This window comes from Homo sapiens, chromosome 2 (genome assembly GCF_000001405.40).
Source record: "Homo sapiens chromosome 2, GRCh38.p14 Primary Assembly".
Taxonomy (NCBI): domain Eukaryota; kingdom Metazoa; phylum Chordata; class Mammalia; order Primates; family Hominidae; genus Homo; species Homo sapiens.
The window spans coordinates 241,704,125-241,716,762 of NC_000002.12; the positions used below are offsets into that span (position 1 = coordinate 241,704,125).

The 12,638-nt window shown below is 46.9% G+C and overlaps 1 protein-coding gene across 21 annotated transcripts in view; it reads left to right on the plus strand.

Annotated features, from left to right (window-relative positions):
- Nucleotides 1-12,638, plus strand: part of ING5 (inhibitor of growth family member 5) — a 42,459-nt gene that overhangs the window by 17,105 nt on the left and 12,716 nt on the right. For all 21 annotated transcript variants that reach the window (XR_007082548.1, XR_007082549.1, XR_007082550.1 and 18 more), the window contains 4 exons: nt 529-600; nt 5,092-5,258; nt 7,253-7,364; nt 7,854-7,947. Coding sequence is in view for 11 of the 21 variants with exons in the window: in XM_047446012.1 (XP_047301968.1) it covers nt 529-600; nt 5,092-5,258; nt 7,253-7,364; nt 7,854-7,947 (445 nt within the window). In the remaining 10 variants the exon portion in view is untranslated. The remainder of the gene's footprint in view (nt 1-528; nt 601-5,091; nt 5,259-7,252; nt 7,365-7,853; nt 7,948-12,638) is intronic.

The window sequence follows — 12,638 nt, forward strand, 5'->3', positions numbered from 1 at the left end:
CCCTTCTTTGACTTCTGACAGCTTCCGAAGTGTGCACACAGCCTCTTGTCAGCACTGTTTGGTACCTGCATCTAAAAATGAGATCACAGTCCTTCCGCTCCGCAAACCCTGACAGAGACAGAATACAGAGTGGGCTTGTAGACTTGAAGTATAAAACTTTTGGCCAGTCCTGGTGGCTCACACCTGTAATCCCAGCACTTTGAGAGGCCGAGGTGGGCGGATCACCTGAGGTCAGGAGTTCGAGACAAGCCTGGCCAACCTTGTGAAACCCCGTCTCAACTAAAAATACAAAAACTAGCCGGGCATGGTGGCATGTGCCTGTAATCCCAGCTACTCAGGAGGCGGAGGCGTGAGAATCACTTGAACCTGGGAGGTGTAGGTTGCAGTGAGCCAAGATCGCACCACTGCACTCCAGCCTGGGCAACAAGAGTGAAACTCCATCTCAAAAAAAAAAGACAGAAAACCTTTGGAGGTGAATTTTTGTCTTGCTGCTGAGAGGTACATGGCTTCTGTGTTTTTGCGTTTCAGGTATCGAGAACCTTCCCTGCGAACTTCAGAGGAACTTCCAGCTGATGCGAGAGCTGGACCAGAGGACGGAAGGTGGGTTCAGACCTCTCCATACAACCAGAACTGAGTTCTGACAGGTGGGAGCCAGCAGCTCCTGAAGGCTGGGGGCAGAGGGTTTTGAGGGGACCCAGGTTAGTGGGGCATTGGCCTAGCCCTGGGCCGTGGGTATCACTCAGTGTCTTGCAGTAGGTGTTGATACTTTTGAAGCCACATTGTTTCTTGGGTTCTTACACATCTTTATATCATGTTTTTATAACCATCACCCTTTCCAATCAAAATATTTATTGCCAATTTTTTCTTTTAAATATTTTCAATTTTCAAAGTGTGTAGTGCGTGCATTGTTTTAAAAGTTTGGTAGTACTTTTTGGCCGTTTGATATTTAACTCCGTTTCTTTTTTTTTGAGACGGAGTCTTGCTTTGTCGCCCAGTCCGGAGTGCAGTGACGTGATCTCAGCTCACTGCAAGCTCTGCCTCCTGGGTTCACACCATTCTCTTGCCTCAGCCTCCTGAGTAGCTGGGACTACAGGTGCCCGCCACCACGCCTGGCTAATTTTTTTTTTGTATTTTTAGTAGAGACGGGGTTTCACCGTGTTAGCCAGGATGGTCTTGATCTCCTCACCTCATGATCTGCCCGCCTCAGCCTCCCAAAGTGCTGGGATTACAAGCGTGAGCCACCTCGCCTGGCCCTAACTCTGTTTTTTTCTTTTTTTTTTTTTTTTTTTTTGAGACAGAGTCTCACTCTGTTGCCCAGGCTAGAGTGCAGTGGCACGATCTTGGCTCACTGCAACCTCCACCTCCCGGGTTCAAGTGATTCTCCTGCCTCAGCCTCCCGAGTAGCTGGGACTACAGTCACATGCCACCACACCCAGCTAATTTTTTGTATTTTTAGTAGAGACAGGGTTTCACCATGTTCACCATGTTAGCCAGGATGGTCTTGATCTACTGACCTCATGATCCGCCTGCCTAGGCCTCCCAAAGTGCTGGGATTACAGGCATGAGCCACCGCGCCCGGCCCTTAAACTCCCTGTTTCTAAACAACATGTTTTTGTTGCTGTTTCTTATTTTATCTCTCGTCAGTTTTAGACGTTGTTCAGACGTATATGGCACAGGCAGCTGTACTTCTCCAGTGGCCCCCACACCCTCACATGCCCTCACCTGGCTCCCCCATCTCCTGGCTGTAGGTTGTTAGAATTTGTGGTGAGACCAGTGATGGGACTTCCATTGGGCAGCTGTGTAGGTACTTTAACACTGAGCCATGCCACCTGCTGTGCTTATATGACCTCTTTGGAATAACTTTGTGTATTTCTTAGAGTTACTCATGGCCCTGTTTGTTGGCTTTGTTTTCTGCATTCGACCCTTGTCTCCCCAGCTGGGCTTTTCCTTGTGGTCTGTCAGGCTGTCTACCCTGACAGTTCTGTGTGTGCTTTCTTTCCGCAGAGCCCTCTGTCCTGGAGGCCACAGTCCTGATTGTTTCCATGCCAACTGCACACTTGTTGCCCTGAGGTTTTCCTGGGATCTCCTTTCACCCCTCTTCAGTGTGGGACCCTCTTCCCTGAATCTTAAATGTCTTCTTTTTGCCCTTGCTCTCCTGTTTTGATAGAGCCTTTCCTTTGGTAGGTTCCTGAAAAAAAGGCACATAGGAAGGTAGATTTTCTTGGCCAGGCACGGTGGCTCATGCCTGTAATCCCAGCACTTTGGGAGGCTGAGGTGGGCAGATCACCTGAGGTCAGGAGTTCGAGACCAGCCTGATCGACATGGAGAAACCCCGTCTCTACTAAAAATACAAAATTAGCCGGGTGTGGTGGCGCACGCCTATAATCCCAGCTAATTGGGAGGCTGAGGCAGGAGAATCACTTGAACCTGGAGGCGGAGGTTGCACCTGGAGATCGCACCATTGCACTCCACCCTGGGCAACAAGAGCGAAACTCCATCTCAAAAAAAAAAAAAAAAAAGAAAAAAAGGAAGGTAGATTTTCTTGTAACATTGCATGTCTGAAAATGTGTTTGTTCTAGCCTCATACTCAGCTGATAGTTTGGTTGGGTATAGAATCCTAGGTTGACAATTGTTTTCACTCAGGAAGTTGGCGACATTGCTGCCTTGTCTCCTAGCTTCCACGTTGCTGCAGAAAATCTGGTGCCGTTTGGATTCTTGGTCCTTTATATGTGTGATCTATTTTTTTTTTGTTATTCCTATTCAGAAGCTTTTGAGATGTTTCCTTTATCTCTGAAGTTTTAAATTTCATGATAATGTGTTTTGGTGTGGCAATTTTTTTTTTTTTTTTTTTTGAGATGGAGTTTCACTCTTGTTGCCCAGGCTGGCGTGCGATGGCGCGATCTTGGCTCAACACAACCTCTGCCTCCCAGGTTCAAGTGATTCTCCTGCCTCAGCCTCCCGAGTAGCTGGGATTACAGGCATGCACCATCATGCCCAGCTAATTTTGTATTTTTAATAGAGATGGGGTTTCTCCATGTTGATCAGGTTGGTCTCAAACTCTCAACCTCAGGTGATCTGCCCGCCTTGGCCTCCCAAAGTGCTGGTATTACAGGTGTGAGCCACTGTGCCTGGCCTGAGATTTTTTATTCATTATGCTGGGCACAGGTTTGTTTTTTTTGTTTTGAGATGGAGTTTCGCTCTTGTTGTCCAGGCTGGAGTGCAATGGCACGATCTCAGCTCACCGCAACCTCCGCCTCCCGGGTTCAAGCAATTCTCCTGCCTCAGCCTCCCGAGTAGCTGGGATTACAGGCATGCGCCACCACACCCTGCTAATTTTTTGTATTTTAAGTAGAGACGGGGTTTCTCCATGTTGGTCAGGCTGGTCTTGAACTCCTGACCTCAGGTTCATCCACCCGCCTTGGCCTCCCAAAGTGCTGGGATTACAGACGTGAGTACCACACCCGGCCTGGGCACATGTTTTGCAAGACTGAGATAGCTGTGTTTTTTTCCTTAGGTACAGCATCTTGACTAGGGAATACAGAGAGTTATTTTATTGTGAAATGTAACATATATTCAGGAAATGAATGTGCAACAATTATAGATTGCTTAACAAATATTACCAGGTGAACCTCTCTGTTGTCTGCTACCGAGATGGAGAAATCAAGCCCTTTGGCACCTGAAGGCCTTTGTGACCCTCCTAGTCATGACACCCCTCCCCAACCAAGGGGTGACCATCCTGAGTTTGGTGACAGTCACCTTCCACCTTTAACAGTAGTTTTCTTTTTTTTTTCTGAGACGGAGTCTCGCTTTACCATCAGGCTGGAGTGCAGTGGCACGGTCTCGGCTCACTGCAACCTCTGCCTCCTGGGTGCAAGTGATTCTCCTGCCTCAGCCTCCTGAGTAGCTGGGACCATAGGCACGTAACACCATGCCCAGCTAATTGTTGTATTTTTAGAAGAGACGGGGTTTCACCACATTGGCCAGGATGGTTTCCATCTCTTAACCTCGTGATCCTCCTGCCTTGGCCTCCCAAAGTGCTGGGATCACAGGCGTGAGCCGCCGTGCATGGCCTTCAACAGTTTTCTTTTGTTTTTTTTTTTTGAGATGGAGTCTCACTCTTTCGCCCAGGCCGGACTGCAGTGGCGCTATCTTGGCTTTCTTCAAGCCCCGCCTCCTGGGTTCACGCCATTCTCCTGCCTCAGCCTCCCGAGTAGCTGGGACTATAGGCACCCGCCACCACGCCCGGCTAATTTTTTGTATTTTTAGTAGAGACGGGGTTTCATCAAGTTAGCCAGGATGGTCTCGATCTCCTGACCTCGTGATCTGCCCGCCTCGGCCTCCAAAAGTGCTGGGATTACAGGCGTGAGCCACCACGCCTGGCCTAGTTTTCTTACCCCTCTAAACTGAAGGGTTAAGAGTTGTGTCTGTTTCTGCTCTTCATATTAATGGAATCATCCAGTATGTTTTCTTTTGTTTCTTGCTCTTTTTGCTCCGTGTCACCTTCTCTGGGAATCATCCGTGTTGCTGTGTGTGGCTGTAGTTTGCTCTTTTTGTTGCTGAGTAGCACTCTGTTGTCTGAAGGGACCACAGCTTATTTCTCCATTTTACTGAGGATTGGACATTGGGGTTGTTTTCTGTTTTCTGCTCTTATGAATGTTTCCCGTGTGGATTTCTTTAGGTGACATAAGGTTTGTTTAGGGTATTTAAGAGTAGTGTGTTCTTTCTTGACTGCTCTACCGGAAAAAAAGAAAAGGGAAAAAAGAGTAGTATGCCAGGTCATAGGAAAGGTGGCTACAAGTTATTCATACAGGATGTTTGAGAGTCGAAGAAGGCACTGTGACCACTTGCTGTGTAACATTCAGAGCTGGGACTGTCCTGGGCACGTTGCCGTAAAGTCTGCACATTCACACGATCCCAGACTGTTTGTGCAGAACGGTTCTGCCCACTTGCGCTCCCACCAGCACAGCGTGAGTTCATGTCAGCCTACATCTTTGCCACAACTTGGCGTTGGCTGACTTTAGTTGTTGCCAGTCTGGTGAGCACATCATGGTGTCTTGTGCAGGGCTAGCTTTTCCCCCATTTCTCCATCAGATAAGAAAGCAGAGATTGACATCCTGGCTGCAGAGTACATCTCCACGGTGAAGACGCTGTCTCCAGACCAGCGCGTGGAGCGCCTGCAGAAGATCCAGAACGCCTACAGCAAGTGCAAGGAATACAGTGACGACAAAGTGCAGCTGGCCATGCAGACCTACGAGATGGTGAGGGCGGGGCGGGGGCCATGGCTCTTCCTCTGACCTCTACTCCTGCCTCTCATGCAACAAAATGTAAAAACTGCCCGGAAATGGGCATAGCCAAGTGGAAGGCTGGCTTTGGTAGCTGACGCTGCTGGAGGAAGTGCAGACGGAATACACTTCATGTAGGACCATCCCTGTTTTTTTTTTTTTTTTTTCTGGGCCCTTTTTGTTTGTGTATCTGCTCGGAGGAACCATTTGGGTTTTTTTTGAGACAGTCTCACTTTGTCGTCCACGGTGGAGTACAGTGGTGTGATTTCAGCTCAGTGCAACCTCCGCCTCCTAGGCTCAAGTGATTCTTGTGCCTTAGCCTCCCTAGTAGCTGTGATTACAGGCATGCAGCACCACACCCAGCTAATTTTTATATTTTTAGAAGAGACGGGGTTTCACCCTGTTGGCCATGCTGGTCTCGAACTCCTGACTTCAAGTGATCCACTCGCCTCAGCCTCCCAAAATACTGAGATTACAGGCATGAGCCACCGTGCCCGACCTCCAGGTGGCCATATTTTATTTTATTTATTTATTTTATTTATTTATTTATTTTTGAGACAGAGTCTTGCTCTGTCGCCCAGGCTGGAGTGCAGTGGTGTGATCACGGCTCACTGCAACCTCCACCTCCTGGGTTTAAGCGATTCTCCTGCCTCAGTCTCCCGAGTAGCTGAGATTACAGGCATGCAGTAGCCATACTTTATTATTATTATTATTTTTGAGATGGACTTTTGCTCTTGTTGCCCAGGCTGGAGTGCAATGGTGCTATCTCGGCTCACTGCAACCTGTGCCTCGCAGGTTCAAGCAATTCTCCTGCCTCAGCCTCCTGAGTAGCTAGGATTACAGTCACCCACCACGAAGCCTGGCTAATTTTTGTAGTTTTATTTTTTTATTTTTGTATTATTTATTTAGTTTTTGAGACAGGGCCTCACTGTGTCGCCCAGACTAGGGTGCAGTGGCATGGCTGCAGTTCAGTGCAACCTCCACTTCCCAGGCTCAAGCGATTCTCCTGCCTCAGCCTCCTAAGTAGCTGGGATTACAGGTGTGCACCACTACCAACAGGCTAATTTTTGTTTTTGGTTTTTGGTTTTTTTTTTTGAGACAGAGCTTCGCTCTTGTTGCTCAGGCTGGAGTGCAATGCCACGATCTTGGCTCACTGCAACCTCTGCCTCCTGGGTTCAAGCGATTCTCCGGCTTCAGCCTCCTGAGTAGCTGGGATTACAGGCATGCGCCACCAAGCCCGGCTAATTTTGTATTTTTGGTAGAGATGGGGTTGCTCCATGTTGGTCAGGCTGGTCCTGAACTCCCGACCTCAGGTGATTGACCTGCCTCAGCCTCCCAAAGTGCTGGGATTACAGGTATGAGCCACCGTGCCTGGCCTGTATTTTTAATAGAGATGGGGTTTTGCCATGTTGGCCAGGCTGGTCTTGAATTCCTGACCTCAAATGATCCACCTGCCTCGGTCTCCCAGAGTGCTGGGACTACAGGCGTGAGCCACCGCGCCTGCCCTAATTTTTGTATTTATTTTAGAGATGGGATTTTACCATGTTGGTCAGGCTGGTTTTGAACTCCTGACCTCAGGTGATCAGACTGCCTCGACCTCCCAAAGTGCTGGGATTACAGGTGTGAGCCGCTGCACCTGGCCTCCAGGTAGCCATATTTTAAAGTAGGGTTCAGCGTCAGATATCCCAGGCCTTGTTCACTGCATTTCACAACTCTGCTTCTCATTATTGCCCACACTCATGTCTTTTCCCTAAATGGGATTTATTCCATTGCAATGTCAAAATATGCAGAAAAAGCACAAGACCCTTGCATGGACTTTGAAATAGTGGGCCTTGTTTTAGCAGAGGTTTGTTCATTGGAGACTCAATTAAAGGGCAAGAAGGTGTTTCCTGGTGGATACTTTTGTACATTCGTGATTCTGAGGTGTTTTGGTTTTACTTTAAAATAAGACTTTGGGTATCCTTTTGTAGGTGGATAAACACATTCGAAGGCTTGATGCAGACCTGGCGCGCTTTGAAGCAGATCTGAAGGACAAGATGGAGGGCAGTGATTTTGAAAGCTCCGGAGGGCGAGGGTTAAAAAGCAAGTCTGTTAATTTTTTTTCTTTATTTTATTACTGTTAACTATGGAGTTTTGAAGAGTTTTGTCACGGTAAATCATTAAAGTATGATCACTAGGGTAAGTATCATATTTGGGTAAACCTTGTCTTGCAGGCTGGGTGTGGTGGCTTACGCCTGTAACCCCAGCACTTTGGGAGGCTGAGGCAGGAGGATCACTTGAGGCTAGGAGTTTGAGACCAACCTGGGCAACATAGCGAGACCTCATCTCAACAAAAAATTTAAAAATTAGCCAGGTGTGGTGGTGCACACCTGTGGTCCCAGCTACTCGGGAGGCTGAGGTGGGTGGATTGCTTGAGCCCGGGAGGTCAAGGCTGCGGTGAGCTATGATTGCTCCGCTGCACTCCAGCCAGCCTGGGAGACAGAGCGAGACCCCTTTTTAAAAACAAAACACAAAACTTGCCTTGCTTTAGAGAATTCTATAAAAATAATTTGCATCTTGATTATTTTTCAGAAGGCCGGGGTCAGAAAGAAAAAAGAGGGTCCCGGGGCCGAGGCAGGAGGACATCAGAGGAAGACACACCAAAGAAAAAGAAGCACAAAGGAGGGTAAGAGGCTTTCCCCTCTTTTTCCCAAAAGAACGAATACCCATAGCCTGTATCCCGGATGTAGGAACACTGATGGAAGCTGACCCGAGTGAAGTGCACCCCGTGTGCCGGGTGGTATTCTGATTCTTACGCTGCGCGCCTGTCGTCAGCCTGTCCTCACCGCAGCCTTTGAGGGGGTGCCGTTGTCAGGGGCATTTTCAGTGTCGCAGGGACCTGCCCAGGCTTTAGGGCTGCTGTGGTGCGGCTGGGCTGCACCTGGAGTCTGACTCCAGTGCCTGTCCTCTTAGCCACAGTGTGTGCTGCCCCACTAGGGACAGGAGGATGGTGAGCAACGTGTTGTTGACAGAGGCCAATGTAGACCACTCTTTAAGTAGCTAGATTTCTGTATATCTGTCAGTTATTTTATGTGTCAACATATAGTGTGCATATATTCATTGTTAATTATGTGGCCACATTTATTAAATAGACATGTCATTTAACTTGAAGTTTTTTGAGATACTTTATTTAAAGCATTCTCCCACTGACACCCTCCCTGCCAAAGGTGTTGTATACCCTCCAAAGAGATCGTAGCATTACCTCAGAGGAGTGACATTTAGACTAAAGAGAAAATGCTGAAATGCCACGAAGCCTCTGTGGAGATGATCTCACAGAGGGAGGGTCAAAGAGTGTAAGTTTTGGGCACGGTAGCTCATGCCTATAATTCCCGCACTTTGGGAGGCCAAGGCGGGAGGATCACTTGAGCCCAGGAATCTGAGACCAGTCTGGGCAACCAAGTGAGTCCCCCATCTCTACAAAAAATAGAAAAAATTAGCTGAGGGTGGTGGTGTGGGCTGTAGTCCCAGCTACTAGGGAAAGCTGAGCTGGGAGGATCATGAGCCACGATCGCACCACTACATTCCAGCCTGGGCCACAGCATGAGACTCTGTCTCAAAAAAAAAAAATAAAGAGAAAAAAAGAGTTCTTCTTGACAAAAAAGGGACAATTTTCTTTTTTTTTTTTTTTGAGATGGGGTTTCGCTCTTGTTGCCCAAGCTGGAGTGCAATGGCGCCATCTCGGCTCACTGCAACCTCTGCCTCCCAGGTTCAAGCGATTCTCCTGCCTCACCCTCCTGGATAGCTGCAACTACAAGTGCGCACCACCATGCCCGGCTAAGTTTTTGTATTTTTAGTAGAGATGGGATTTCACCATGTTAGCCAGGCTGGTCTCGAACTCCTGACCTCAGGTGATCCACCTGCCTCGGCCTCCCAAAGTGCTGGGATTACAGGCATGAGCCATCACACCCGACCCAATTTTCAGTTTTTTTTTTTTTTTTTTTTTGAGATGGAGTCTTGCTCTGTCCCTCAGGCTGGAGTGTGGTGGCGCGATCTCAGCTCACTGCAACCTCTGCCTCCCAGGTTCAAGCAGTTCTCCTGCCTGAGCCTCCCAAGTAGCTGGGACTACAGGTGCATGCCACCACACCCAGCCAATTTTTTTTTATTTTTTGTAGAGATGAGGTTTCACCTTGTTAGTCAGGATAGTCTTGATCTCCTGACCTCGTGATCCACCTGCCTTGGCCTCCCAAAGTGCTGGGATTACAGGCGTGAGCCACTGTGCCCAGCCCCAATTTTCAGTTTTTTAGCTAGTGCTTAGCCTTTTGGCCGGGCGAGGTGGCTCATGCCTGTAATCGCAGCACTTTGGGAGGCCAAGGCAGGTTAATCACCTGAGGTCAGGAGTTCAAGACCAGCCTGACCAATATGGTGAAACCCCGTCTCTACCAAAAATGCAAAATACTTAGCTGAGTAGTTGGCAGCTGCCTGTAATCCCAGCTACTCGGGAGGCTGACGCAGGGAGATTGTTTGAACCCGGGAAGTGGAGGTTGCAGTGAGTCAAGATCACACCACTGCACCCCAGCCTGGGTGACAGAGCAAAACTCCGTCTCAAAAAAAAAAAAAAAATCCCAACATTCTCGTATTGTAAAGTAGTGCACAGATACAGAAAACCGCACAGAACAAACATGGTTTAATTAATTTCCGTAAAGTGAAGATCTTTGTAAGTAGCACCTAGTCAGTGATTAACTGCTGCTGGAAGGCCTTCCATATGCCCTGTTAAAATCATAAACTCCTCCTGCCCCCAAATAAACATGATCCAGATTTCTATAGTGTTTATTTCCTTGTTTCTTTAATAGTTTTATAGTGCATTCCTAGACACTATACATTATAGTTTAGTCCTGTTGTTTTTCTAACCTTTTAAATTAACTTTATTAAGGAATAATTTACATACAATAAAATGTTATTCTAAGTGTACAGTTTGATGTTGCATTCAGTTCCTTTAAAGTTATGGAAGTATTCAGGCTTTCTATTTCTTCTCGAGTCAGTTTTGGAAAAAATCTGTGTCTTTCAAGAAATTTGTTTCATGTAAGTTGTCAGATTTTTTTGACATCAGGTTGTTAATAATTTTGCATTATTATGGTTCTGATGTGTCTGTTATGATGACCCCTCTTTCAGTCCTGATACTGGTAATTTATGTTTCTCTCATTTTGTCTTGATCCTTTTTTTTTTTTCCCTGAGGGCAGGGTCTAGCTGTGTCACCTAGGCTGGAGTGCAGTGGCATGCACATGGCTCACTGCAGCCTCCACCTCCCTGTCCCCAGGCTCAAGTGATTCTCCCACCTCAGCTCCCGAGTAGCTGGGACCACAGACATGCGCCACTATGCCTGGCTAATTTTTTGTAGAGACAGGGTTTCATCATGTTGCCCAGGCTGGTCTCAAACATCTGGGCTCAAGCAGTCCGCCTGCCTCAACCTCTCCGTGTGTTGAGATTACAGGCGTGAGCCACTGCGTCTGGCCGTCTTGATCTTTTTAGAGAACTAGCTTTTAGTTTCATTATTTTTATTGTTTTCTCTATTTTTTTGTTTGCTATTGCATTTGTTTCTACTCTCTATTTCCTGTTTTCTACTCAGGTTTACTTTGCCTATACTATTCTAGCTTTTTAAGGTGGAAGTAGCTTGCATAATTGATTTTTATATCTTCCTTGTTCTAATTATTATCTTTGTTGCACTCCACAAATTTTGATATATTATGATTTTGATATAATTTTGATATTGTTTTAAATTTTTATTTCGTTTACCTATTTAAAATATTTTAGAATGTTTTTCTTGTTTTTTGAGATGAGGTCTCACTCTGTCACCCAGGCTGGAGTGTAGTGGCATGATCCTGGCTCACTGCAGCCTCCACCTCCTGGGCTCAAGAGATCCTCCCACTTCGGCCTCCCAAGTAGCTGGGACCACAAGTGCATGCCACCATGCCTGGCTAATTTTTTATATTTTTGGTAGAGATGGAGTTTCACCATGTTGCCCAGGGTGGTCTTAAACTCCTGAGCTCAAGTGATCCACCCACGTTGGCCTCCCAAAGTGCTGGAATAGAATTTTTTTTTTTTTTTTTTTTTTTTTGGTGAGACGGAGCCTCACTCTGTTGCCCAGGCTTGAGTGCAGTGGTGTGATCTTGGCTCACTGCAACCTCCACCTCCCAGGTTCAAGCAATTCTCTTGCCTCAGCCTCCTGGGTAGCTGGGATTACAGGCACGTATCACCATGCCTGGCTAATTTTTTTTTGTATTTTTAGTAGAGACAGGGTTTCACCATGTTGGCCAGGCTGGTCTTGAACTCCTGACCTCAGGTGATCTGCCTGCCTTGGCCTCCCAACATACTGGGATTACAGGCGTGAGCCACCGCACCTGACCTAGAATTTTTTTTTTCATGCTACTTCTTTGCCCTATAACTTATGTAGAAGTATGTGTCTCAATTTCCAAATAATTTGGGATTTTTCAGATACCTTTCTAATTTTAATTTTTTAGTTGACTTCTGTTGTGGTCAAAGAACATTACATAATTGAAATCCTTTGAAAGCCAGCTAATTTTTGTATTTTTAACAGAGACAGGATTTCACCATGCTGGGCAGGCTGGTCTCGAACTCCTGACCTCAAATGATCTGCCCACCTTGGCCTCCCCTCCCTGTAAAGTGCTGGGATTACAGGCATGAGCCACCGCACCCGGCCTTCATTGCAATATTTGGTCTGTTCATATTTAACATAATTAATGATATGGTGGGATTTAGGTTCACCATCTTGCTATTAGTTTTCTGTTTGTTCCTTCTGCTCCTTTGCTGTCTTCTTTTGGACTAATCAGGTATTTTTTAGTATTCCGTTTTTTTCCCCACTCTTGTCTTATTAGCCATGCTTTTTTTTTTTTTTTTTTTTTTGAGACGGAGTCTTGCACTGTTGCCCAGGCTGGAGTACAATTTGCAATGGCATGATCTTGGCTCACTACAACCTCTGCTTCCCAGGTTCAAGCGATTCTCATGCCTCAGCCTCCGCAGTAGCTGGGATTATAGGTGTGCGCCACCACACCCGGCTAATGTTTTTGTATTTTTAGTAGAGACAGGTTTTCACCATTTTGGCCAGGCTGGTCTCGAACCCCTGACCCCAAGTGATCCACCCACCTCGGCCTCCCAAAGTGCTAGGATTACAGGCGTGAGCCACTGCCCCGGCCCCTGTATTTTAAGGATTGTTCTAGTGTGTGCACTCAGTTTCCTTAAGTTATCACAGTGAGCTTCAGATATTACACTATTTGATGTTTAACGTGTGGCTCCACACAAGTGTTCTTCCATTTCCTGCCTTTGTGCTGTTGTCCTTCACTTTGCCTGTGATCTGAGCTTCCC